Source organism: Homo sapiens, chromosome 1 (genome assembly GCF_000001405.40).
Source record: "Homo sapiens chromosome 1, GRCh38.p14 Primary Assembly".
In the NCBI taxonomy this organism is placed as follows: domain Eukaryota; kingdom Metazoa; phylum Chordata; class Mammalia; order Primates; family Hominidae; genus Homo; species Homo sapiens.
The window spans coordinates 76,223,242-76,250,749 of NC_000001.11; the positions used below are offsets into that span (position 1 = coordinate 76,223,242).

The 27,508-nt window shown below is 39.7% G+C and overlaps 1 protein-coding gene across 12 annotated transcripts in view, besides 3 other annotated features; it reads left to right on the forward strand.

Moving 5' to 3' along the window:
- The window catches only part of ST6GALNAC3 (ST6 N-acetylgalactosaminide alpha-2,6-sialyltransferase 3), a 562,594-nt gene that overhangs the window by 148,496 nt on the left and 386,590 nt on the right, over positions 1 to 27,508 (forward strand). The gene's annotated exons all lie outside the window — the stretch shown is intronic.
- Positions 7,863 to 8,363: an enhancer, noted in NCBI's record as "OCT4-NANOG-H3K27ac hESC enhancer chr1:76696789-76697289 (GRCh37/hg19 assembly coordinates)". NCBI's record gives its function as "activates a minimal SCP1, AML or CMV promoter by ChIP-STARR-seq in naive H9 embryonic stem cells {active_cell/tissue: H9 hESC(naive)}" and the evidence as "EXISTENCE:reporter gene assay evidence [ECO:0000049][PMID:30033119]".
- Positions 11,065 to 11,564: an enhancer, noted in NCBI's record as "NANOG-H3K4me1 hESC enhancer chr1:76699991-76700490 (GRCh37/hg19 assembly coordinates)". NCBI's record gives its function as "activates a minimal SCP1, AML or CMV promoter by ChIP-STARR-seq in naive H9 embryonic stem cells {active_cell/tissue: H9 hESC(naive)}" and the evidence as "EXISTENCE:reporter gene assay evidence [ECO:0000049][PMID:30033119]".
- Positions 16,183 to 16,477: an enhancer, noted in NCBI's record as "tiled region #8716; K562 Activating non-DNase unmatched - State 24:Quies". NCBI's record gives its function as "activates a minimal TATA promoter and a strong SV40 promoter by Sharpr-MPRA in K562 cells {active_cell/tissue: K562}" and the evidence as "EXISTENCE:reporter gene assay evidence [ECO:0000049][PMID:27701403]".

Below are 27,508 nucleotides of genomic sequence, written 5' to 3' on the forward strand. Positions count from 1 at the left end.
AACATGGATGGATCTGTAAGCCATTATCCTAAGAAAGCGAACTAATGAAGAAACAAAAACCCGAATACTGTATGTTCTCTCTTATAAGTGGGAGCTAAACAGTGAGAACACATAAACGCGAACACAAAGAGAAGAACAACAGATACTGGGGCTTATTTCAGAGTGGAAGGTGGGAGGAGAGAGAGGATCGAAAAACTACCTATCAGGTGCCATTACTGTGCTTATTACCTGGATGATGAAATAATCTGTACACCAAAACCCTGTGACACACAGTTTACCTATATACCAAACCTGCACATGTACCCCTGAACTTAAAATAAAAGTTAAAAGAAAAAATAAAATGTGCTTTTAGAAGTATCCAGACCAGGCCAGAGCTTGTATAAATCCATATTACTATCTTGCAGTTGGTCAAAGTAGTTAAGAACCTGTGTAATAGTGTTTTCTGGGATGTTGCAACAACTTTCTATCTTTATTGCAAGGGCTTTCTGTCTTCCTATTATACTAATTAATTCTTTCAGTCTTTCCTGATTATTGATGCCATGATGATTTTTTTTTTAAGAATTTGATCCTGCAAACTTTTATGCCTAAAATCTCTCTAGCTTTACTATTGCCTCCAGCAGGAATTTTTCACCTAAGTTCATCAATTGCAGTCAGGAAACTGGTAAACTCTGAGTCTTTCTGCAAACTTCTGTGTGTAGAGGATCCAGAGTTTGAGTCAGACCCTGAAAGCTATCCTTGATCAGATTTAGAATATCCTAACTCTTTAGTAAGAAATAAACCCGTCTAGCTTTACATGCAGCCACCAGCCGTGACGTGAGACTCACCCCACACTGACCTATTATTCAACATTTCCTGATGCTTCCATACTTCTCTGCCTTTGAACCTGATGATCATTCTACTTATAATGTCCTTTCCTCATCCTTAGCTTTGCCTGTTGAAACCTTCAAGATTTTACTCCAGAGCCACCTTGTCTGGAGAGATTTTATTTACTTTGTGAGGAACAAAATGCTGCTCTTTTATCTTTTCTCCTCCTTTATAACACTCATCACCTCTCCCCACTAAGTTTGTGGACAAGGAATGTATTCTGTTTATCTATGCATTCCCAGCCCAGAGGAAGGTACTGGCCCAGAGTAAATGCTCATTAAATATTGTGAATAAATGGGCAAAAGGATAGAAGACACATTCTTTACTTAGATGGAGTTGAGATAAACTTAGAGAGTTAGTGCTAGAATCAACATTGCCTTCTTGCAGGCAAATGATTTACATAATCTGGACATCAAGTTGCCTGTCCCCTGGATGAGGTATCTCAGTCTCCTATGTTAAATAATAGTAAATTGATTCTTTCTTCAACACAGAGTATAACAAATACCTCTAAGTATTCTAAGTTTTATGAAACAAAAGATTTCTGGTGCTGGAGATTGATTTTGGTAGTTATAAGCTTCTCAGGATATCTCCAAAGAGACAAGGGGCCTAGGTGGATAGAAATATTTCCCTTAAATCAGCCTGATAAAAAGTTCTCCATGGTAAGGTAGCCTTTGTCTTGTATTAAAACGCAGTTTTCTCACCAAGTGACTTTGGCAGGTTGGTGAATCCTTTAAGAAAAAGAGATCTGGTCTGGAGTTGTGGTCCCCCGGAGATTTAGTTGCTATTGTGATCATCTGATGACAGCAGAAAACCCAGGGGGATCAGCATGGTTTATTTCAGACTGCAGGGATGTCAGCCTGTTATTATAGGAGTGGGAGCTACCTAGGCAGATGGATGCTTCCTGATTTGTGGATTGGGAACACGAATTGAGCAGCAGCCAATGCAGTGACACTTGTAATACTCTTCTGAAGCCCTCCTTTTTTTTTTCTGTCCACTGAGAAACAGTACCCACCTGCTAATCTACAAGGCAAAGCCATCCTTATTTCAAAGTGTATTTGATGCAACAAAATTCTTTATGCTGAAAGGCTTTAAAAGGCCTCTAAATTTCTAGAAATGAGATTTAATCTGATATTTGAATCTTATGCCTTATATCCAAAGAACAGTCTCTCCCTAGTCCCCATTTCTATATATAGATGCAGAAATTTCATAATTGGAAACCTGTGACTTTAGCTTATGGCTTGGTCCCTTGTGAAGAATGTATTGTGCTTTTTAAGTGATGTGTGTATTTGTCTGAATTAGTCTATCAGAAGTTTCTTTTTGAGAATAGCCATTAATGAAGATGAGAAACAGAGCTGTGAGGGACATGAGGAGGAAAACAAACCCATTAAAGAGAGGAAAGAACTCCCTGCCCCAACCCCACCAACCCAATAGCATTTAAGGCCACCAAAGGGAACGTTTTCTGTGTTACTGTTTATTCAGGAGCTGGCTTCTAACCTGCCATATGCTTCACTCTATTTAGAGAGCCTAGGTAATGTTCTCTCATTTTGTAAGGAGATAATATTACTTAACCTAAGAGCTTGTGCAAAACTGGGGGAAATAGTTGGCTAATAAGTTACATGCATCCATGAGTTGCACAATAGAGATGAAATGATGACAAATTGGGATGAGAGGCAATGAGTGTTGTATGGGAACTACAGGATTTAAGATTTGAAAAGAGGCATTTTAAGAGCCCATTTTTTTGCTTTTTCTACTCAGCTTAGGACCCCAATTATTACTTACTAGCCTCATTTCACTGGACTTCACCCATTCACACACCTGTCACCCAAAATACTACCAAATATTTTCTTTAATGTTATTTTTGCATTTAATCCTCATGAAGGTTAATAAAGTCTTCTCTCTCTATGTGGTATGAAAGCATAACTGATGACTTTATTGGTGCAGATATATTATGGCTGCTTTTGACGTTTATGTTTTCCGTCCAGATAGATGAATGATTCCAGTGAAAGTAAATCAATTGCACCCAGACTGTGGGTATAAAACACCACGCTCAGGGTTTTCCTTCTTGTCTGGCAGATAGTAGAGGGTGTGAAATATTGAAATTTGACTTAATGCTGTATGTTTCTTCTGAAAAAGAGAATTTCCTTTGACTATCTCCTAAGGTACATCTGTGATTGATATTTGCCCTGTCATTTAGTGCCAATCCAGGGAGGGGATGCCCCTTTTGTGGGGCCTGTTTGCTCTCCAAGGGAGCCTTCATGGCTTCCTTCGGTCTAGTTGGAGTAACCTGTTTTTTCTTCTAGAGGATTGAATTCAATTAACAGGGATTACAAATTCAGTTATTAGGAATTTATCAGTGATGGCAAATGGAATTTTACTGGTGTATTAGTCCATTCTTGCATTGCTATCAAGAAATGCCTGAGAGTGGGAAATTTATAAAGAAAAGAGGTTTAATTGGCTCACTATTCTGCAGGCCGTACGGGAAGCAGAGTGGCTTGTGGTTCTGAGGAGGCCTCAGGAAACTTCAAATCATGTTGGAAGGCAAAGGGGGAACAGGCATCTTACATCGCAGGAGCAGGAGGAAGAGAGAGAGTTGGGGGTGGGGTGCCACACCTTTAAACAACCAGATCTCACGAGAGAACTCACTCACTATCACAAGAACAGAACCAAGGGGATGGTACTAAACTATTCAGGGAGGATCCATCCCGCCTACACACACCCATTTCCAATCACCTCCTCACCTCCAACATTGGGGATTACAATTCGACATGAGATTTAGGTGGGGACACTGATTGAAACTTTATCAACTGGATTCCCAACAACTGGAAACATGAGAGAGTAATTTCAGTTTCTAGGATGGGTTTAACTGGCTTTCATGATAAAAAGAGAAATATTTCTTGATCCACAAGAATAAAGGTTTTTGTTGTTGTTGCTGCTGTTTTTTCCAAAAGTGATTTGAGTTCCTAGTGTAAATCAAAACCAGACGCAACTGTAATTGCCAATTGATGGTACAAATGGACAGGTAAATCCAAGAAGTGTATTTCAATTTTTAAAAAGTTCTGTACCCTGGAATTCCCTTCTTCAGCTTGCCTTCCACCTCTGCATTCAGGAGTGCTATGGCCCTGATCAATCAAAATGAACACTGGCTGTAAACAACCAGCATGGTGGTGGTGCTATGCCTGAATGTCAGCCTTTTCTGGTCCTTTGAGCAAGAATTAATTGCATTCTCATTAGGGGTCCTGGGAACTTCAGGGTCAATCTTTCTTGTGGAATTGAGCACATTGTTTTAAAGCTATTTGTTTATTTGTCCAGTTCAATTTCCTTCTAGACAGTGAAGCACTTGAGGGCAGGGACTGTATTTATCTACCTTTGTATCTTTATCACCAACTTGGTGCCTAGCACAGAGACAGTTCTCAGTAAATCTTTGCAAAATAAATTAAAATTGTAGAGGATATTTAGAATTTTTATTCTAAGATAAATGCAAATGTGTTATTGTGTCAAGCACTCATCTGTATTTAAATCCCAATTACTGGAATGTATTTTAACAATAGTTTAGTCTGTACCCTAACATTGACTGTGCGAATTTCTGACTTATAGTTTAAAAGTCTCTAGGGAAGAAAATTTCAAAACTTCCTCGTTGCTCTTTTTAGAAGTTCAATTACAGTAATAATCAGCACCTACTAACTCACTGGGATATTTCTAGTATTATTTGCTCTCATGTGACCATATAGCATGTATCTCAAGTGCTGCACAAGATTTGCAGCTGTGACTGTATGGAAAGCTTGGGAAATATTGTGCTGAGCTCCTTTTGTAAGGGATGTGGTTTCTAGATTCTGTGTTCAGGGAAAAAAAAGTCTAAAACCTGCAAGTACTCATTTGTGGAACATTTAATTTCATTACTTTGTTAGCAAAGCGTGTATCTGGAGGTAAACACCAATCAGCTACAGTTGGCTTCAGGCCCAAGAGAATTGAGGTTAGGAGTCAAGACAGAAAGATGGCTATTGCAGGAAAATACGTCTGCTCTAGACTAGGATAAATTTTCCTATTGAAATATGAAATAGACCATTACACAGAAGTTTGCCTACCACTAAAAGTGTTCTAGAACATTATAGTTCAAGGGTGCCAAATTTTAAGCAAAGTCCTGTGGTTTCAGTGATGCTATTTTCAAATCATGATTCCTGTAAGAACAATCTCTGCCACTAAAGTGTAGCTTTCTCTCACACACTTATTCATATATTCTGGCTGTCCTCTGTCTTCCACTAATCTGAGAAGTTTATGGCACAAATCTGATTCTTTTCCTTAAATACTTGCATTAGGTTAATTCTTAGGTGGCCCAGTAACCTTGCGAAGAAAGATCAGTTTGGGGCAAACCATGTGAAGCCCCCTTTCAAATTCATTTCTGCCCTACTTTCTGTCTGCTTTAATCCACCACATTTCCTTGTCTATTTTGTACTCTAGGTCAAACCACAGCAGCACATTTTAAAACCTGGTAGGAAGCGGGTCTCAGAGCTCTAGAGGAACTATTATGCCAGTCTTACAAATTATTTTTTAATTATCGGTTTCTCAGACAACTCACTTGGTTTACTTTCAGGAAAAATGTTATCGCTGTAAATGAGTTGTACTTTCTTCTGTCAGAAAACATAAAGTGTGTAACCCCTTTTATTTTAGCTGAGTGTGAATTTTTAGATTCAAATTGTTTGCCATGTATTTCTTAGTTTGTAAATTTGAAATGAAGCAACATAAACAACGGTTTCTGCCCGGAGAAGGTCATGCCAGTCAGGACCCTGCGCATTGATGGTCATCTTCAGGTGATTAACGTTGATAGATATCTGAGCAGAGAATAGTGCAGGATGGAGAAGGAGCCACCCACAGACAGGGTTTAGCACATTCAGAGTAGACTCACCAGGCTAATGCTCATGGGCCCGCTCTGGTTTCATTTAGGGCTGAGAGACTGATTATATGAATGGACAATGGCCAGACCCTATATGAAAACAGAACCCTGACCCACAACCTGCAGCAACCCGCCCAGGAAACTGACTCCTTATTCTCAATAAAGAACCCAGAAAGCTAGCCTGCCATGAGTTAGACTTGTAACAAGTCAGATTGCAATCTCCAGTAACCATCTAGGAAGCTAAACAATAACTTCAACAATTGACCTCAAGTGGCCAGGACTTGATCAATAACTGGCAGCTTCCCTAATTTTGTGTCCCCATTTTTAACTTAGGATGAACGAGAGACAGCCAAATAACACACCCCTAACAAATCAGACAGGATGCCCCACTTCCTGTTAGACCACCTACAGCTTCCCTGCACCCATAACCTTTAATTAGGGCACATCTGAAACCTTCCTTTTTTTCAGGATAAAGCTTTCCCACTTCTCTTCCTGCCTTTGTGTCTCCGCCAAAATGCAAGTGACAGTGTGGCTGACTCCCTGCCTCTAGCAAGCTCAGAATAAATAGCCTTTGCTTGTTCTCATTTGGTTGGTCTTTGTTTATTTCCAGAGGGCCTAGTTGGGCAAGAAATGATATTGTCCAGGAGCACGTTTTAATTTCATGGTCTCTGTAGGTAGGTGATTCCATGTAGCTGTTGTTCCTTCAGGTACATTAGCATTTCCTAGCTTTGGGGTGGGGGCTGTGGCTGACCTGTGAGAGATGCAGCCTTGCTCCCACTTGCTGTTCCACGTGTGGAAAGGGCAGAGCAGTAAAGCACATTGCTAAATGTCAACGCATGCATTAGGTATTACCATCTCACGGTGAACCCCATTCACATGGCGCCCAGTAGGGAGGAGCAGAGGGGCCTCTTTGCAACAGAGATCAATGGCCAACAGCTTTTCTTTTTTTAAAATGTAAAACTATAAAGGAAAACCTTTTCAAACATTATCCTCAAAAGATTTGGAAATAGGAGATCTGAGATTAGTGGGTCACTGAAGGGCTAGCACTTGCTTATAGATGACTTAGCTTAGAAACTCCAACTTCCTCATACTTTTGTTTCTGCTGATAATAGAATGCAGTACAACAGGAGTGAAAAACAAAGCCAAATTATTTCTTTATCTTTTTCTAATGAAAATTCAATGACATTTCAGCAGTGACTTCTTCCCAAACCTTAAGGAGTACATATAAGCGTTAAGATGAGAAGTTGACCAATTGCCTAAGAACAGTTTGAAGCATATCACACCTTATTTTGTTATTATATTTGGTTTCTACTACGTAGAGTTCATTATCTGTGTTCTCTCTGTTATTACTATATTTGAGAATTGTAATTATGGAGCTTTAATAGGATGAAAGAAAAGAAGGATGCAAAAATACTTAAATACTGTTCATGATGAAAGATCTACATTATTTTCAAATTATCTTTTATTTTATTAGCTGAGTTTTTAGGGTCCTATGGCAATATACTAGAGTCCAAGTATTTTTTCAAAGTAATTTAATTTTATGTTGTTATGATTAGGTAAGTCTACTGAATTGAATCAATTTATAGGAAAAGTATGAGATTAGTATTATTAAATTTCATACTGTAGTCTGGTTTGCTTTAATATACCTATATATGTATGTGTGTGTTTATTTAAGACTTTAGTTGTGAAATATAGACTCCTGTTAGTAACTGATGCCTTTTCCTTTTCTCTTTGATTAGAAGAAATACATTAGAAAGGTATCAGAATCAACTCATTTGCCAGTTGGCAAACATTCCTGGAATTTTAAGAATTGTAACAACAATAAAACAATAACTGTTTATTAAGTGCTTACTATGTGCACTGTCCTTAGTGCTTTACTTCTGTTATTTTAAGTGTTAGATTATTTATAGAGATCACAGTAATAATCCTTTCATTGTTTATGCACGCACATTTGCAATGTAAATTTGCTGTCTGCCCCACCTCCTTCTGTGAGGGAAGTCTATTTTCCCCTTCTCTGAATCTGGTCTGGCCCTTTGACTTTCTATGGTGAATAAACTGTGGTGAAGGTGATATTTTGCAAGACAAGGCCTTGGGAGACACTGCTGCTTTCTCTCTCAGCTTCTTGGAACCCAGAGCTGGGATGAATGACCATGGAGGGAAGAGGCTCAGCCACAGAACTAGCACAACCCCTTGATATGCAAGCGAGGCCATCTTGAACAAGCCAGGTCCAGCTGAGCTAACAGATGGCTACAGGCAAGACCCAAACCAAATGGTACCCCACAGAATTATAAACCAAGCAAATGTTTGTTTTTTAAAATTTTTTTTTATTATTTTATCGTTAATTGTAGTAAAATACACAGAACATAAAATTTACCATGTTAACTATTTTTAAGCGTACAATTCAGCAGTATTAAGTATATTCACATTGTTGTACGATTAATCTCCAAAACGTTTTCATCTTGTAGAACTGAAACTCTATACCCAGTAAACAACAACTTCTGTTTCTCCCTCCTGCCATTCCCTCACAATTACCATTTTACTTTCTGTTTCTGTGAGCTTGACTATTCTAGATACCTCCTCATACAAGTGAAATCATGCTATATCTTTATGTGACTGGCTTATTTCATTAAGGATAATGTCCCTCAAGTTTTATCCATGTTGTAGCATATATCAGAATATCCACCTTTGTGAGGCTGAATAATATCCACTATAGGTATATGTCACTTTTTTTTCATCCATTCATCTGTCAGTGGACACTTGTGTTGCCTTTATCCAAATGGCTGTTGTAAATAATGCTGCTAAAAACATGGGTGTGCAGATATCTCTTTGAGACCCTGCTTTAGATTCTTGTGGATATTCCCAGAAGTGGAATTGCCAGATTATATGGTAATTCTATTTTTTAACTTTTTGAAGTGTTGTTGTTTTAAGCCATTCATAACTGAGGTGATTTGTTCTGTGTGATAGCTGAAACACCTAACTGAATTTTGACAACAAGGCTTCGAGGTAGTTTCTACCATTCTCATTTTTCAAGGGAGAAACTTCACTTACCCAAGGTCGTATGGTTTGGACAAACAGAACCAGGCTTTGATACCATGAAGTCTGGTACCAGAACCTCACTCTGCGGCACACTGTACCACTTTACAGAAAGCATGTTCAGAATTGTTTTACCTATAGTGGTTGACGCTGGACAGAAAGAAACATCAGTAACCAACAATATTGAAAAGATCCCTATCTATGACTGATGTAGTTCAAGGAAGTATACTTTTCCAGAGTTTGTAGTATTTATCCATTGTATGGTGGCCTCTGAGCTTATTTCTGTGTTGTCAGCTAGGCTTACCCTGGTGGTGTTGGAGGGAATAGTACTGGATGATCTACAGGGAGGTCCACTCACCCCACTCCAGGGCTGCTGGGTCCAGATGGGCAAATTGGGTTCGAACAAAGGGCCTTGCCAGAGTGGGCTGGAATCCAGAGCCCATCTGGATTCCACTCAGGTGGGACCAAGCCTGTGCTCTGGCCATCTGGGAGTAAGGGGTCCTTTTTCTAATGGATCCTCCCCGGAAAGGCTCCTTTGTGCAATTCATCTGACCGGAGAAGGTCCTCTCCTTAAGTCCTTCCTCTTCCCTCAGATAGCGGGGCTGTTGTTGAACTGTATCACAGCTCCCTGTCCTCCCCATCACCAAGTCCCTGCCCCTTAGTGCTGGATGACTGTTGTTTCTCCTCCATCAGGGTAACCTGTGTTGTTGAAGAAGCCACCAGAAAAAACTGTGGTTGAGCAATAATGAACTCTTGACTTGAGCGTTAAAGCGGGGCCCCAGTGGTTTGCAGGAGCCGGTCAAGTAGAGATAGACCGAGATGGAGATGAGCCACTGTCAGCTGAGTGTGTAATCCAGGAGGCTGTCTTTACACAGTCCTGGGCTTTGAAGTTGGAGCAACTCCTGGCTTTACCACCTAGGAACCATGTGACTTTGGACACTGTACTTAACCTCATCAAGTCTCTGAGACACAGGTACATGAGAAATGCCTGCCTTACAGGACTGCTATAGGCTCAAAAAACAAAGTCTCTAAAGGGACTGGAAGAGAATCTATTAAATAGTCAATGTTCGATACATGTTCATTGTTACCACACCCATTCTTCCTCATTACTTCCTTCACCTCCTCCCAAATTCTTCTACAGTAATAATAATATTACTATTACAACTATTATCATTAAAACCAGAGGCCAGTTTAGTTAGATTTGGTGGTATCTGATATGATTCACATTAAGAGAGTTATAATGAAGACCTGCTTGTGATTGCAAAGGTTCACTTGCAAAGGGATAGGATGAATGGGATGTGGATTAGCAGCAGCATTATAAAAAACTTTACAAGTTTCAGTTGAGAATAATCTAACATGCTTCGACCTAAAGAAGCATACAAGTAAGCCCAAAAACAAGGAGTAGGGAAGGGCATCCACCAACCACAAGGCCAAGGGAAGGCCTAGGTATCTCTACAGGACAGTGAAGAATTGTGACCTATAGTTTAATCCACCACAAAGGGCATGCACTGGTATGGTTGGACAGTTTTTAAAGCATTTATCCATCCTAAATGGGCAGTCCCAATGCTTGATTAGTAGTGCCAGTGTAATGCCTATTGTTAAGTATTTTGAGTAGCATCCTCATTGCTAAGAACTTCATCTACAGTATATCATTTACTCTTTTTCTTTCTGCATTAGTCTTTATATTAGATACTTATCTATGTATTTATGTTTATTTAAATAAACTTAGGGGTACAAGTGCAATTTTGTTACATGGATATATTACAGTAGTGGTGAAGTCTGGGAGGAAATACCATTTACTTTTAACAACAACCATATACTTTTTGTATATATAAAGCACAGATACATGTGCAGTATACAAACAGATACACAGTATATCTGTGATATTAAAATTTTATGTGGGGGAGCAATTAGAAAAAATGTCTAAAAAGTGTCCTTAGAGGGACGATAATGAAAACATTTAAGAATTACTGGCAATTGATATTTTTATTAAATAAATGTGAAAATATAGGTTGAGAGGTTAAATAATTAGTCCAAGAACATAAAATTATTAGGTGTGAGAGCTCTGACTTATACCCAGGTTTGTGCGATAATGAAGTGTGTGCTTTTATCCACCTTACCACCTTGCTTCCTTGCCCTTCATTCAGCTCTCTGAACCTCTGCTTCCCTCCATGTGCTTTACTGCTTCCCATCCTCCCAGATTTCTCTGTACCCTCCCCCGGTAGTGGCCTAGATTCTCCTAAACTGCTCTGTCCCCCTTCTAGGATCTGAGATCCCACCTCTTTGGTTTCATTGTTAGTGAAGGAATGCTTCAAGGGAAATTTCTGCTCTTGGGTTGGAGGAATGAGTGTTTGCATTTTAATGCCCATTCAGAGACATTTCTCAAAGGACTGAGTCTTTTCCAGTGGGACTTCAGGATCTCTCACATGCCAGTGGGAAGCAATTTGGAACTGTGTGCTTTGCAAACCCGTGCAAATCATAGCAGGAAGGCCGATGCCTATCTCTAGCTAAAGCCTTATGTGCTATATATCTTCATGTGAATGTCTGGACAAGAATCCCCTGCTCTTATGCCATAACCTGGGCTCTACACCTGAATTTCTCCATGTAGCAATTCCAAGAAAATTCAATCTTCAAAACACATTTTTTAGTAAATAGAGGCAGCCATGAGAAACATTTTGTTGTTGCTCTGAAAAGTTGTTGTTTTATAAAATGGAATAGTCAATCTCAGCTTTCTAAACAGAGTTTCTAGGATCAATTTATCAGGAATGAGTGGATTCCTTTCTCTTCCTCCCAAAGGGTCTATGGAAGATGAAGAATACAAGCAATAATAGCAAATCAATCAAATTTACATTGCAAAGAGTCCTTCACAAAAGTACCTGAGAGGGCTCTACCTAGATAATCAGATGCTAACATTACCTTTTTCCCAAATATAGTCCACCTCTGCAAAGAACCAAGGAGTGTGGGCTTCAGCTTCTCTACAGAGTCGCTGGTGGTTAAACTCAAAGTAGCAGGGCCTCACATTTGGGCACTGCTGTGTAGGAGGTGCCAAGAGTCAGTCACTCAGCTGATGGCCTCTGGTTTCCAAAGGAAAAACAAAAACTGTTCAGAGCTATTGTTCAAAAAGGAAAAAAGGATTACTCCCCAAATTTTAGCACCCAAAAGCATACATGTGAGTGTCAAGTGCTAACATTTGCCCAAGTCAGGTCTGGTGGCTCATGCCTGTAATCCCAGCACTTTGGGAGGCTGAGACAGGAGGATCGCTTGAGCCCAAAAGTTCAAGTCTAGCCTGGGCAGTATGGTGAGAACCCATCTCTACAAAAAATTAAAACTATTAGCCACGCGTGGTGGTGCCTGCCTGTAGTCCAAGCTACTTGGGCAGCTAAGGTGGGAGGATCACCTGAGCCTGAGAGATCGAGGCTGCAGTGATCCATGATGGTGCCACTGCACTCCAGCCTGGGCAACAGAGCAAGATCCTGTCTCAAAATAAATAAGTAAAATAAAATACAATAAAATTTGCCTACATTGAATGCCTACAAAAGCCAAGGTTATTTCTTAGGTTATTTCTCTCATTTGATATAATGGATAAATTCATTCAAATGCCTCAGTTTCCCTATCTTTAAATTGGGAATCATAGGAATACCCACCTGCAATAGTTTACTAGGGCTATGGTAACAAGGTGCCACAAACTGGGTGACTTAAATGAGAAACTTACTGTGTCACAATTCTACAGACTAGGCATCCGAGATCGAAGTGTCACAGCACTGTTTTCTTTCTCAGGGCTCCTGGCTGTGTGCTGGGAATCTTTGGTGTTCCTGATCTCTGCCTTCATCTTCACATGGTGTTCTCCCCTGTGTATGCCTGTGTCCCGTTTCCCCTTTTAACAATGGTACCAGTCATGTTGGGACAGGGACCCATCCTACTCCAGTGTGACCTCATTTTGTTTTTTGTTTGTTTGTTTGTTTGTTTTTAGACAGAGTCCCACTCTGTTGCCCAGGCTGGAGTGCAAGGATGTGATCTCGGCTCACTGCAACCTCTGCCTCCCAGGCTGAAGCGACTCTCTTGCCTCAGCCACCATGCCTGGCTAATTTTTTGCGTATTTTTAATAGAGACAGGGTTTCGCCATGTTGGCCAGGCTAGTCCCGAACCCCTGACCTCAGGTGATCCGCCCGCCTCGGCCTCCCAAAGTGCTAGGATTACAAGCCTGAGCTACCGCACCCGACCAACCTAATTTTAATATAACAAATTATATCTACAATGGCCCTACTTCTAAATAAGGTCAGACTCTGAGGTATTGGGGTTTAGGATTTCAACATACGAGTTTTGGAAGAATACAATTCAACCCATGACACCACCTCACATGGTTTGGTGTGGATTAAATGAGTACAAAAATTGCTATGTGAGGGTTTGCTCTAATTATTATTAGTAAGTAGATGTCTTAAAGGATAACAACATAAGCAATGATTACTACTTGAGAACCTACTAAGTGTCAGATACTATATTGTCAAAAACTTCTAATCCTCGTAGAAACCTTCAAAGTGTGTTTTTTATCTCCAGTATCTTCAGTTTACAAATGGGTAATCTGAAGCTTAGAGAGGTGAAAAGATTTTGATGTACCTGAGGCTTCACAACTTGTTTATGATTATAAACAAGACTATAATCTCTACTTGATGGTGAAACTCTTTGAATAATGGAAGAAGGTTTTAAAAATTCATACCTCCTTACTTTAGTTTTTGTGTGCAAATGCAATCTTCCGTATAATGTATTGAGTTTGCATAATCAAGGTTCTAAAATAATTTTTTAGATAGGAAGCTTAGCTATGGATAAAAACTGCCAATTCAACAGATAAAAGATAGTCATTTTGATCTTGTCAATAATTACTTTAAGACAGTGGCAGGTACCTGATTTAGTTAACATTCAGTGAACAGAGTCCCTGAACCTGTGCTAGGAATCCCAGTCCAATAAAACCTTGCTCCTGCCTTCAAAGAGCTCACAGTTAGTTTAGAGAGTGTGCTAAGGGGATAGGCCACGGGGCCAGGCAAGATTCACGGGGCCACGGTGAGGAAGATTCAGGTTTATGATGCGGGTGTGAAATAACTTACTTGGGATCAATGAATCATTGAAGAATTCTGTTTTTTATATTCTCCCCACCCAGGCAAGAGTGCAGTGGCACAATCTTTGCTTACTGCAACATCTGTCTCTTGGGTTCAAGGGATTCTCCTGCCTCAGCCTCCCAGGTAGCTGGGACTACAGATGCCCGCCACCACGCCGGGCTAATTTTTGTGTTTTCAGTAAAGGCAGTGTTTCACTGGGTTGGCCAGGCTGATCTGAAACTCCTGACCTCAAGTGATTCACCCGCCTTGGCCTCAAAATGCTGGGATTACATACGCCTGGTGTGGAATTCTTTAATGCAGTGAGAGGAGATGAAGGCCACTTTAGCTAAGCCTTTAGGTTCATTGAAGAGGCCATTCAAAAAGATGAAAGGTTTGACATATACTTCCCTATATCAAGCCATGCCTGATTTTTCAGAAATAAGGTAGAAGTTTAATGGATGTCATAGTCTAAAAATTTGTAAGGTAATCACTATAAATGGAGGGAAAAAAACCCAGTTATTTTCTCTTAGGGCCATTTCTCATGGGAATTCAGACTAGAATAAAAGGAAGTTATTTATAGGATGTTTAATACCCAGTCCCTCACCAGGATTCTAGATAGAAAAAAAATATTTCTGGAGATGGAAACGCTGGTTTCAGTGTCATGTGGAAAGTTTTGTTAAACACCTATCATGTGCAAAAAATGAATATCTTCTCGATTTAGAAGAGCATATAGTCTAGCAGAGGAAGATAGATACTTCAAACTCTCCACCTCACTTGCCTGGATATGAAATACTTCCTGCTTTTGAATGAATTACATTGATGTTGATTAATGATAATGGAATAACATTACTTTGCATTTGGAGGATGCTTTTAACATTTCAAAGTGCTTTCCGAATTATTTCTCCTGTCAAACTGTCCAACAAGCCTGGTGTGGATGGGGGCTGGGCTGACACTGGCACTGGCACAGGGCCCCCAGGAGCCTGTCCTAGCTGCTACTTTTCTGGCAATGCCTTTCCCTTGCAATTTCTTCCCAGCCCGCACCTTCTACCTTTTCTCTCTAGTTCCCACACTGTGCTTCCTTTGTTTTGGTCTTCCTGGCTATTGCCTTGGATTCTCTACATATCCTGCCGTGCTCTTTGAAGCAAAGCTATTACAGAAATGTAATAAATAATAAATTTCATCACTCAGACAGATCAATAAAATGCATGATAAGAAGAGGCCATTATGGAGAGTGAAAAATGCGCAAGAGGATGCCCACAGCATGAGTCAATCTTTAGCCAGGAGATGCCAAATACCAGGCAGGCCATTACGGGGTATTTTAAGCTTTTATTTGTTAGTACATCCACAGACATTTGTTGAGGGTATTTTTCCCGCTATGCCCAGGGCTAGGCACTGGACATTCCGAGACATACTGTGTCCAGAAGCTCAACAATTTAGCTGAGGAGATGGATGATGCAGCCATAACTAATTGTAATGCAGTGCCATTGCCTCTGTAGACAATAGGCAGAGAGCAGTGAGAGTTCAGAGGGGGAAGGAACCAGCTTTGGAGAGGAGGGGAGAGGGGGCTTTTATTAAAGCGAGGAAATTGGACTTCAATTATACAGTAAGAGCAGGATTTTTCTCAGGTGGAAGAGTTGAAGTAGGTGTGAGATAGATTATTTTCCTCGGGCAGGAAATATCACATGCAAATATGATGGATCCTATACTTACTGACAACGTCTAGGGATTTTTTTTGGTTCACAATTTTTATTCAGGTATTTAAAGTCTTTCTCAATCTGGGACAGTTTAGATAAGCAGCCTTACTTTTCCACTAAGCCTGTTTCCCACTAACCTTTTTTTTTTTTTTTTTTTAACTGTTTAAAAGGATAAGGCCCAGTAAGATAGAAGTGAGCACAAAAGCAAGGGGCTGCTGGGCTCCATTGGCATAGAATATAGGCAGAGTGGGCTTGGGCCACCAGCTGTCTCCTGGGGTTCTCAGGCCTGGAGTCCTGGGGGAGCCTCTTGTCCTTTTCGCTTCTCTAGCCTCCTTGAAGGAAGAATCTGAAGGGAGTGATCCAGCCTTATTATCATCCTGGTCACATGGAGAGAAAAGATAGAAGGGTGATGCTCTTTCTTCTAACACCCTAGTTTTTGAATATATGGCCCAAGTCAGCATCCTTGAACTTGACCAGTCAGTGACAATACTCCTCTTCCGTGGAGGAAGGGGGAAGGATGTGGAGAGAGGATGTATTAATCCATTGTGCATTGCTATAAAGGAATACCTGAAGTTAAGTTATTTATAATAAAAAAAAAGTTTTATTTTGGCTCGTGATTTTGCAGAGTGTACAGGAAACAATGGTGCCAGTGTGTGCTTTTGGTCAGGACCTCAGGAAGATTTTACTCATGGCAGAAGGCAAAGGGGGAGCAGGTGTGTCACATGGTGAGAGAGGGAGCAAGGGGGGAAGGGAGAAGATGCCAGACTCTTTAAACAAACAGCTCTTGCATGAACAAACAGAGCAGGAACTCACTCATTACTGCAAGGGAGGCACCAAGCCATTCACGAGAGATCTTCCCCCGTGACCCAGCACCTCCCACTAGGTCTACCTCCAACATCAGGGATCACATTTCAACATGAGATTTGGAGGGGACAAACATCCAAACTATATCAGAGGAGCACTGAATTATATGGTACGGAAACATCAACTTCCAACCACAACTTTGTTATGAAATTGGATACAGGGCTGAGATAAGATGCAAAGAAGGCCCTAGGCTAATAGAAGTTTAGTCTGTTACCTCCTTAATCTTTTTCTTCTGAATTATCCTCATTCATTTACTCTTTATTCTCACCTCCCAGGCACAATGCTTTAGCCTCTTTTGCATTTCTGCCTTTTCCTATTAAGGTAGCCATTGATAAATTAATTCTGGAAAAGGAGTATGCACTTTGGAGTCAGAGGTGGGTTCAAATCCAAGAACTATTACTAACTTAGCCTCATGACCTTGAAAAAGTTGCTAGGAAAATTAAATAAGATAACATAGGTATAATACACAGTACAGTGTCTTGCTGTACAAGCATTCAATAAATGGCATATATACATATATTCACTGTTAGTTTTTCACTAGTGATGTGGTATGCTGGAAAGAATAAAATATGTAGTATGATGTTTTACGTAGAACTGCTTAAAAATGCCTGTCTCTTCTCCTCTTTCAGGTCTCTATAAAGTTTCTAACTTGTTTTACTTTTTACCAGCAATTCTGTCTCACTTCCTGGCAGACTTATATTTAGTTCTCTAATGCTGAACACAAACTGCTAACTGTCCAGCCAAATCCATTCTCTTGTTCCCCTTTAGTCTGATCATGTCTTCTCCATTTCTCAGCCTTTTTATAGTTAAGTGTGGCCATCAGACTAAGTGTTCATGGGTATGGAATGTAAGTAGAAGTGATGTGTGCCATTTCCAGTCTTGGCCATTAACTTCCTACAAGCAATTCTCTGTGTTCTTATCTTCCTTCCAGACACCTGGGATGGGGATGCCCGGAGCAATCTTGGAAGCCAGTCAGCTGATCTGTCCCTCAGCTGAGTCCCTGAATGACTGTTGAGCCAATTGCCTCCCACAACATACAGATACATTTGTGAGCAGGCACGTGCACACACACAGAAACAAAACATTTGGAAATAAACTATTGCCTTCAAGCCATTTAATTTGGGGTCATTTTGTTCTGTCAGTTTATCCTACCTTAATACCCATTTTTATCTATCTCCAAGTTTGACTGAGATCGCTGGAAAAACCCAAATTGTAAGGTACTTTTGAAAGAGCACTGAACCAAAAGCAGAACTAGGTTTAAGATACTTTTGCACCTAACAGCTATATAATCTTTTTATTTACCTATTCAACCCTTCTCTTTCTTACTGAAAAAAAATTATAATAATCTCTGTGACTTAGTTGAGCTATTTAACTTCCTGGTTACCAGGTTACTCACTTGCAAAATGTGTCATGGAATTATTGTGCAAAATTATTAGGATAGTACATGTCATAATTTTAAATTTGTAGAGTCTTCTACAGCTTCACTGTCCAAAATAGTAGTCACTAGCCATATGTTGCTATTGAGTACCTTTCTTAGTCTGTTTTGTGTTGCTATAAAGGAATATATAAAATAGGTAATTTATACAGAAGAAAAGGTATCTTTGGCTCGCAATTCTGATATCTAGGAAAGTTCAAGGTTGGGCATCTGATGAGGCCCACAAACTGCTTCCACTCATGGTGGAAAGTGAAGCAGAACCAGTGTGTGCAGAGATCACATAGTGAGAGAGGAAGCAAGAGAGAAAAGTGGGAAGTGCTAAGCTCCCTTAAACAACCAGCTCTAGCAGGAATGAAAACAGTGAGAACTCACTCACCCTTTCCCTTCCCCAGGAATGGAATTAATCCATTCATGAGGGATTCTCCTCCATGACCCAAACACCTCCCATTAGTCCCCATCTCCAACACTGGAGATGAAATTTCAATAAGAGATTTGGATGGGACAAATATCCAAACTATAGCAGTACCTGAAATGTGGATAGTCTGAATTAAGATACTCTGTAAGTGTAAAATACAAACTGTATTTCACAGGTCTAGTACACAAAAAGAATATCAGATGGTTCATTAAAATTTAAAAATATTGATTACATGTTGAAATGATAATATCTTGAGTCTAGTGGGTTAATAAAATACGTTATTAAAATGAATTCCCTTTTTTTCACTTTTAGTGTGACTACCAGAAAATTTAAGATTATGTGTGTGACTCACATTACATTTCTATTGGACAGCCTGCTCTAGACATAAAGTATTGTAATTTAGTGCAGGCGGATATCCTCTAATACTTCTGAATGTGAGTCTTGAGTAGTAGGAGTTAGAAAGCAAGATTTCTCTAAATGGGATTGATCATCCTTACTTTGCAGGGCTGTAATTGGGATTAAAAATCATATATGCATAGTGCCTGGTACATAGAAGTCACTCAGCAAATACTAGCTGTTGTTCTCCCACCTTTTCCTTTCATTCCAAAAGCAGCTTCCACAATCACAGGCTATATGGCTTTGGATTTTTCTCATTTAGGAAGAAATTATTTTGTTTCCTCTTTTAAATTCATTTTTTTTAAGGATTGGAAGAACATTTGTAATCACAAAAAAAAGAGTACACTGAGGAAAATGAGATAAAGGAAAACCCTGGGGGAGAGGAGTGCTGGTTCCTAGCTGGGATGAGCTAGAGTTGGGGGGAAGATCTTAGCGGTCACTGCATGCTGAGTGCATCACGTCTGTAACAGAGCTGGGAGCAAGTGTTAGGGTGATGTTGCCAGATACCTTCTTTTCCTTTTTTTTAAAAAAATTTACTTTAAGTTATGGGATACATGTGTAGAATGTGCAGGTTTGTTACACAGGTATACATGTGGCATGGTGGTTTGGTGCACCTATCAACCCATCATCTAGGTATTAAGCCCTGCCTGCATTAGGTATTTGTCCTAATGCTCTCCCTCCCCTTTCCCCTCACCCTGCAACAGGCCCTGGTGTGTGATGTTCCCCTCCCTGTGTCCATGTGTTCTCCTTGTTCACTCCCACTTATGAGTGAGAACATGTTGTGTTTGGTTTTTTGTTCCTGTTTTAGGATGCTGAGAATGATGGTTTCCAGCTTCATCCAAGTCCCTGCAAAGGACATGATCTCATTCTTTTTTATGGCTGCATAGTATTCCATGGTGTGTATGTACCACATTTTCTTTATCCATTCCATCATCAGTGGGCATTTGGGTTGGTTCCAAGAATTTGCTATTGTAAATAGTGCTGCAATAAGCATACGTGTGCATATGTCTTTATAGTAGAATGATTTATAAATCTTTTGGTATATACCCAGTAATGGGATTGCTGGGTCAAATGGTATTTCTTGTTCTAGATCATTGAGGAACCATCACACTGCCTTGCACAATGGTTGAACTAATTTACATTCCCACCAACAGTGTAAAAGTGTTCATATTTCTCCACATCCTCTCCAGAATCTCTTGTTTCCTGACTTTTTAGTGATCGCCATTCTGACTGGTGTGAGTTGGTATCTCATTGTGGTTTTGATTTGCATTTCTCTAATGACCATGATAATGAGCTTTTTTTCATATGTTTTTGACCACATACATGTCTTCTTTTGAGAAGTGTCTTTTCATATCCTTCGCCCACTTTTTGATGGGGTTGTCTGTTTTTTTCTTGTAAATTTGTTTAAGTTCCTTGTAGATTCTGGATATTAGCCCTTTGTCAGATGGGTAGATTGCAAAAATTTTCTCCCATTCTGTATGTTGCCTGTTCACTCTGACATAGTTTGTTTTGCCAGGCAGAAGCTCTTTAGTTTAATTAGATCCCATTTGTCAACTTTGGCTTTTGTTGCCATTGCTTTTGATGATTTAGTCATGAAGTCTTTGCCCATGCCTATGTCCTGAATGGTACTGCCTAGGTTTTCTTCTAGGTTTTTTATGGTTTGGGGTTTTACATTTAAGTCTTTAATTCATCTTGAGTTAATTTTTGTATAAGGCATAAGGAAGTGGTCAAGTTTCTGTTTTCTGCCTATGGCTAGCTAGTTTTCCCAGTACATTTATTAAATAGGAAATCCTTTCCCCATTGCTTGTTTGTGTCAAGTTTGTTGAAGATCAGATGGTTGTAGATGTGTGGTGTTATTTCTGAGGTCTCTGTTCTATTCCTTTGGTCTATTCGATTTGGTACCAGTACCATGCTGTTTTGGTTACTGTAGCCTTATAGTATAGTTTGAAGTCAGGTAGCATGATGCCTCCAGCTTTGCTCTTTTTGCTTAGGATTGTCTTGGCTATACAGGCTCCTTTTTGTTCCATATGAAATTTAAAGTAGTTTTTTCTAATTCTGTGAAGAAAGTCAATGGTAGCTTGATGGGGATGGCATTGAATCTATAAATTACTTTGGGCAGTATGGCCATTTTCACAATATTGATTCTTCCTATCCATGAACATGGATTTTTTTTTCATTTGTTTGTGTCCTTTCTTATTTCTTTGAGCAGTGGTTTGTAGTTCTTCTTGAAGAGGTCCTTCTTGTTCCTTGTAAGTTATATTCCTAGATATTTTATTCTCTTTGTAGCAATTGTGAATGGGAGTTTATTCATGATTTGGTTCTCTGCTTGTTTATTGTTGGTGTATAGGAATGCTCGTGATTTTTGCACATTGATTTTGTATCCTGAGACCTTGCTGAAGTTGCTTATCAGCGTAAGGAGTTTTTGGGGTGAGATGATGGGGTTTTCTAAATATACAATCATGTCATCTGCAAACAGAGACAATTTGTCTTCCTTTCTTCCTATTTGAATACACTTTATTTCTTTTTCTTGCCTAATTTCCCTGGCCAGAACTTCCAATACTATATTGAATAGGAATGATGAGAGAGGGCATTCTTGTCTTGTGCCCGTTTTGAAAGAGAATGCTTCCAGGTTTTGTCCATTCAGTATGATATTGGTTATGGATTTGTTATAAATAGCTTTTATTGAGATACGTTCCGTCAATACCTAGTTTATTGAGAGTTTTTAACATGAAGTAATGTTGAATTTTATCAATGGCGTTTTCTGCATCTATTGAGATAATCATGTGGTTTTTGTCATTGGTTCTGTTTATGTGATGGAATACGTTTATTGATTAGCGCATGTTGAACCATCCTTGTATTCCAGGGATGAAGCTGACTTGATCACGGTGGATAAGTTTTTTGACATGCTACTGGATTTGATTTGCCAGTATTTTACTGAGGATTTTCACATCGATGTTATTCAGGCATATTGGCCTGAAATTTTCTTTTTTTGTTGTGTCTCTGCCAGACACAGGATGCTGGCCTCATAAAATGTATTAGGGAGGAGTCCCTCTTTTTCTTTTGTTTGGAATAGCTTCAGAAGCAATGGTATCAGCTCCTCTTTGTACCTCTGATAGAATTCCTCTGTGGATCCATCTGGTCCTGGGCTTTTTTGGTTGGTAGGCTATTAATTACTGCCTCAATTTCAGAACTTGTTATTGGTGTATTTAGAGATTTGACTTCTTCCTGGTTTACTCTTGGGAGGGTGTATGTGTCCAGGAATTTATCCATTTCTTCTAGATTTTCTAGTTTATTTGTATAGAGGTGTTTATAATATTGTCTGATGGTAGTTTGCATTTCTGTGGGATCAGTGGGATATCCCCTTTATCATTTTTGATTGTGTCTATTTGATTCTTCTCTCTTTTCTTCTTTATTAGTCTAGCTAGTGGTCTATTTTTGTTAATCTTTTCATAAAAACAGGTCCTGGATTCATTGATTTTTTTGAAGGGTTTTTTGTAGGTCTATCTCCTTCAGTTCTGCTCTGATCTTAGTTATTTCCTGTCTTCTGCTAGGCTTTGAATTCATTTGCCCTTGCTTCTCTAGTTCTTTTAATTTTGATGTTAGGGTATAGCTTTGAGGCCCTTCCAGCTTTCCAATGTGGGCATTTAATGGTATAAATTTCCCTCTTAATACTACTTTACCTGTGTCCCAGAGATTCTGGTACATTGTTTCTTTGTTCTCATTGGTTTCAAAGAACTTCTTAATTTCTGCCTTAATTTTATTATTTACCCAGGAGTCATTCAGAAGCAGGTTGTTCACTTTCCATGTAGTTGTGCAGTTTTGAGTTCTAATTTGATTGCATTGTGGTTGGAGAGACTGTTATGATTTCCATTCTTTTGCTTTTGCTTAGAAGAGTTTTATTTCAAATTATGTGGTCAATTTTAGAATAAGTGCCATGTGGTGCTGAGAAGAATGTATATTCTGCTGATTTGGAGTGGAGAGTTCTATAGTTGTTTGTTAGGTCCACTTGCTCCAGAGCTGAGTTGAAGTCCTGAATATTGTTATTAATTTTCTGTGTTGTTGATCTGTCTAATATTGACAGTGGGGTGTTAAAGTCTCTTACTATTATTGCATGGAAGTCTAAGTGTCTTTGTAAGTCTCTAAGAACTTGCTCTATGAATCTGGGTGCTCCTATGTTGGGTGCATGTATATTTAGGATAGTTAGCTTTTCTTGTTCCATTGATCCCTTTACCATTATGTAATGCCCTTCTTTGTCTTTTTTGATCTTTGTTGGCTTAAAGCCTGTTTCTTCATAGACTAGGATTGCAACTCCTGCTTTTTTTTGGGCTTTCCATTTGCTTGGTAAATATTCCTGCATCCCTTTATTTTGAGCCTATGTGTGTCTTTGCACGTAAGATTGGTCTTCTGGATACAGCACACCAATGGGTCTTGAGTCTTTATCCAATTTGCCAGTCTGTGTCTTTTAACTGGGGCACTTGGCTCATTTACTTTTAAGGTTAGTATTTTTATGTGTGAATTTGATCCTGTCATCTTGATGCTAGCTGGTTATTTTGCACATTAGTTGATGCAGTTTCTTTATAGTGTCATTGGTTTTTATATTTTGATGTATTTTTGCAATGGCTGGTACCGATTTTTCCTTTCCATATTTAGTGCTTCCTTCAGGAGCTCTTGATTTGGCTGTTGATACTTGTGTATGCTTCATGAAGTTCTCATGCTGTGTTTTTCAGCTCCATCAGGTCATTTATGCTCCTCTCAAAACTGGTTATTCTAGTTAACAGTTCCTGTAACCTTTTATCAAGGTGCTTAGCTTCCTTGCATTGGGTTCGAACATGCTCTTTTAGCTCAGAGGAGTTTGTTATTACCCACCTTCTGAAGCCTACTTCTGTCAAATCCATCTCATTCTTTGTCCAGTTTTGTACCCTTGCTGGAGAGGAGTTGTGAATATTTAGAGGAGAAGTGGAATTGTGGTTTTTGGAATTTTCAGCATTTTCGCACTGGTTTTTCCTCATCTTCATGGATTTATCTACCTTTGATCTTTGAGGCTGATGACCTTTGGATGGGGTTTTTGTGTGGGGGTCTTTTTTGTTGATGTTGTTGTTGCTTTCTGTTTGTTAGTTTTTCTTTAACAGTCAGGCCTCTCTTCTGCAGGTCTGCTGCAGTTTGCTGGAGGTCCACTCCAGAACTTGTTCACCTAGGTATTACCAGTGGAGGCTGCAGAACAGCAAAGATTGCTTCTTACTCCTTCCTCTGGAAGCTTTGTCCCAGAGGGGCACCAGGCTAATGCTAGCCGGATCTCTCCTGTATGAGGTTTCTATCGACCCCTGTCAGGAGGTCTCTCACAGTCAGGAGACACAGGGGTCAGGGACCCACTTGAGGAGGCAGTCTGTCCTTTAGCAGAGCTGGTGCACTGTGTTGGGAAAATCCTCCTTGTCAGGATCAGCTGTTCTCTTTAGAGCCGGCAGGCAGGAGAGATTAAGTCCACAGAAACTGCGGACTTAACCACAGCCACCCCTCCCCCTAAGTGCTCTGTCCCAGGAAGATGAGAGTTGTATCTGTAAGCCCCTGACTGGGGCTGCTGCATTTCCTTCGAAGATGTCTTGCCCAGTGAGGTGGAATCTAGAGAAGCAGTCTGGCCACAGCTGCTTTGCCATGCTGTGGTGAATTCAGCCCAGTCCAAACCTTCCAGTGCCCTTAGCACTGTCAGGGGAAGACAGCCCACTAAAGCCTCAGTAATGGCCGATGCCCCTCCCCCTAGCAAGCTCAATGGTCCCAGGTTGACTCTGGACTGCTGTGCTGGCAGTGAGAATTTCAAGCCAATGGTTCTTAGCTTGCTGAGCTCTGTGGGAGTGGGACCTGCTGAGTGAGAACACCTGGCTCCCTGGCTTCATCCCCCTTTCCAGGGGAGTGGACTGTTCTCCTGTCTCGGTGGGTTTCCAGATGCCACTGGGATACGAAAAAACTCCTGCAGCTAGCTTGGTGTCTGCCCAAACAGCCGCCCAGTTTTGTGCCTGAAACCCAGGGCCCTGGTGGTGTAGGCTCACCAGGGAATCTCCTGATCTGCGGATTGCAAAAATCTGTGGGAAAAGCGTAGTACCCAGGGCAGGTAGCACAGTCCTTCATGGCTTCTCTTGGCTGGGCGAGGGAGGTCCTCTGGCTCCTTGCATTTCCTGGGTGAAGTGAAGCCCCACCCTGCTTCTGCTCACTCTCTGTGGGTTGCACCCACTGCCTAACCAGACCCATTGAGATGAACTGGGTACCTCAACTGGAAATGCAGGAATCACCCTCCTTCTGCACTGGTCTTGCTGGGAGCTGCAGACCAGAGCTGTTCCTATTTGACCATCTTGGTCCCTCTCTCGCCAGATGCCCTCTTTTAAAAATTCTTAAATGTATTTGCAGTATCAAAGTTGAGACTACTTTTCTTCTCCTTTACAGCCTTTTCAATATCACCATCTCCCTAAGTATGCAGTTACAAGAGGTAACTTCTCTCTGTATCTTATCTAAGGAAACTGAGAGCAGTTAGCTTCTTTGGTATGAGGAAAATGGGTTCAAGTCTAGCAGTTCCTATTTAAAGACCTTTCCTTAGCTAATGCTTTTCTTTAATCAAATCACCGCCCCTTAGATTCTAAAGGAAACAACCATTATCCTAATTTCAGGAATGTTTTATTTTTCTTTGTTTTTGGCTGAAGATCCATAATTTTGACTGTCTAATATGAAGCAGGTATTTTCCAATACTTCTCTCTCAGAACCAAATACTTGTTTTCTCCTCATATCTCCTCTTGTCTTCTCTCCTTTTCCTTCCCTTTTACCTCTTCCCTCTTCTACCCTTTTCCTTCTTTCCCTTTTTCTTTCTCTCCCATTTCCTCCTTTCCTTCTTCCCTCTTTCTTTTCCTTTGTTTGTTCACGTGACAGAGGTGGAAAGAGGATGACACATTAGGAAGACTGAGAAACTATCCCATTTGTGGCCACCTAGAAACCAGAAGTTACTAAGATCTAGCACTAATCAATTTCTTCTCAAAGTACCGATTTACCTTGTATTAACATGGCTTTCAAGATACTCTTTAGACTAGTGTTCCCCTCTTACTTTCTGAATGAAGACTATTTATGTTTTCACTTGAGGAGGTGACCCTGAGAGATTAGGGTATATAGTCATAAGTTACTTTTTTAAATTATAGCTTTATAGAGATAAAATTCACTTACTATAACATTCACCAGTTTGTAGTATGCAGTTCAATGGGTTTTAATATACTCACAGCGTTGTGCAAACGTCTCCACTCTTTAATTGCTTTATTTCTTCAACCTTCTACAAACTAAGTATCTATTAATAGACATTTTCCTTTGCTTTCTTCTCCCAGAAACTGCCAATCTACTTTCTGTCTTTATAAATTTACCTACTCCAGACATACATTTTCTATAAGTGGAATAATATAATTGTGACTTTTGATTTTTTATTTTAATTTTGTGATTTTGTGACTGGGCTTTTGTGACTGGCTTCTTTCACTTAGCAAAATATTTTGAGGTTCATTCATATTATAGCTTGTATCAATACTTCATTCTTTTTATTGCCACATATATTCCATTCTATAAAGTTACCATATCTTTTTTTTCTACTTATCAGTTATAGCCGCTTTTAGGATGTCATTAATAATGTTGCTATGAACATTTATGTACAGGTTTTGTGTATATATGTGTCTTTAATTCTCTTGGGTATATACTTAGGCTTAAAAGTGTTGCATCATATGGTATGTCTATGTTTAATTGCCAAACTGTTTTCATAAGTGGCTGAATCATTTTACAATCCTACCAGAAATGTATGAGGGAAACAATTTCTCGACAGCCTTGTCAACACTTACTATTGTCCATCTTTTTTATTTTAGCGATGTCAGTGACTATGAAGTGTGTCTTGTGGTTTTGATTTGCATTTTTCTGTTGATTAATAATGTTTAACATCTTTTCATGTGTTTATTAGCCATTTGTATATAATCTTTGGATGAATGCATATTCACATTCTTTGTTCATTTTTGAGTTGTTTGTCTTTTTTAATTGTTGAGTTGTAAGAGTGCTTTGTATATTCTGTAATATAAGTTCCTTATCAGATATATGATTTGCAAGCATTTTCTTCCATTTTATGTTTGTCTTTTCACTTCCTTGATGGTATCTTTTGAAGCATGAATTTTAATTTTGATGAAGCCCACTTTATTTATTTATTTATTTGTGTCACTTGTACTTTGGGTGACAGATCTAAGGAATCAGAGCCTAATCCTTAGAAGTTTCTCTCATGTCTTTAAAAACACATATACATAAAATAGGATGGTTTGCAATTTCTAAGCAGTTCTTGTCAGGCTTCAATGGCTTCCAGACAAAGTTTTGGCTGTGCTAGCAAAGAAGTGTTAAAATCTTATTTTCATAGCTAGCCGGTGGTGTGAGGAGGGCACAGCTGCTAGGCATTTGGACACTGCAGCAATTGCTTTAATTGGACATTCCTCACCCCTCTAGTCTGACTTGTTAATGGCTTTTTAAGTGAGACACACCAGCCAAGTGAATTAGACTATTTGGCAAGTCAATTCCTGCTCACTTGGAAGCGTTAATCCATGGAAAGTAAGCAGAGGCCTTCAGCCAGGAGGAAACCTGAATTTCATTTGCAGAGGTGAAAGAGAAAGAACTATTGTCTGCAGTCTCAGGAGTTTCCAAGTACACTTCCAAGGGCTGACTGGAAGAAAGGTCTTCTTATCTAACTGGCTCTCTCTCTCTCTCAACCCCACTTTTTCAATTCAGCACATATTTATTTTTCCCTTCAACATGGCTATGAAGCATACAAGTGAGGTCTGTCGT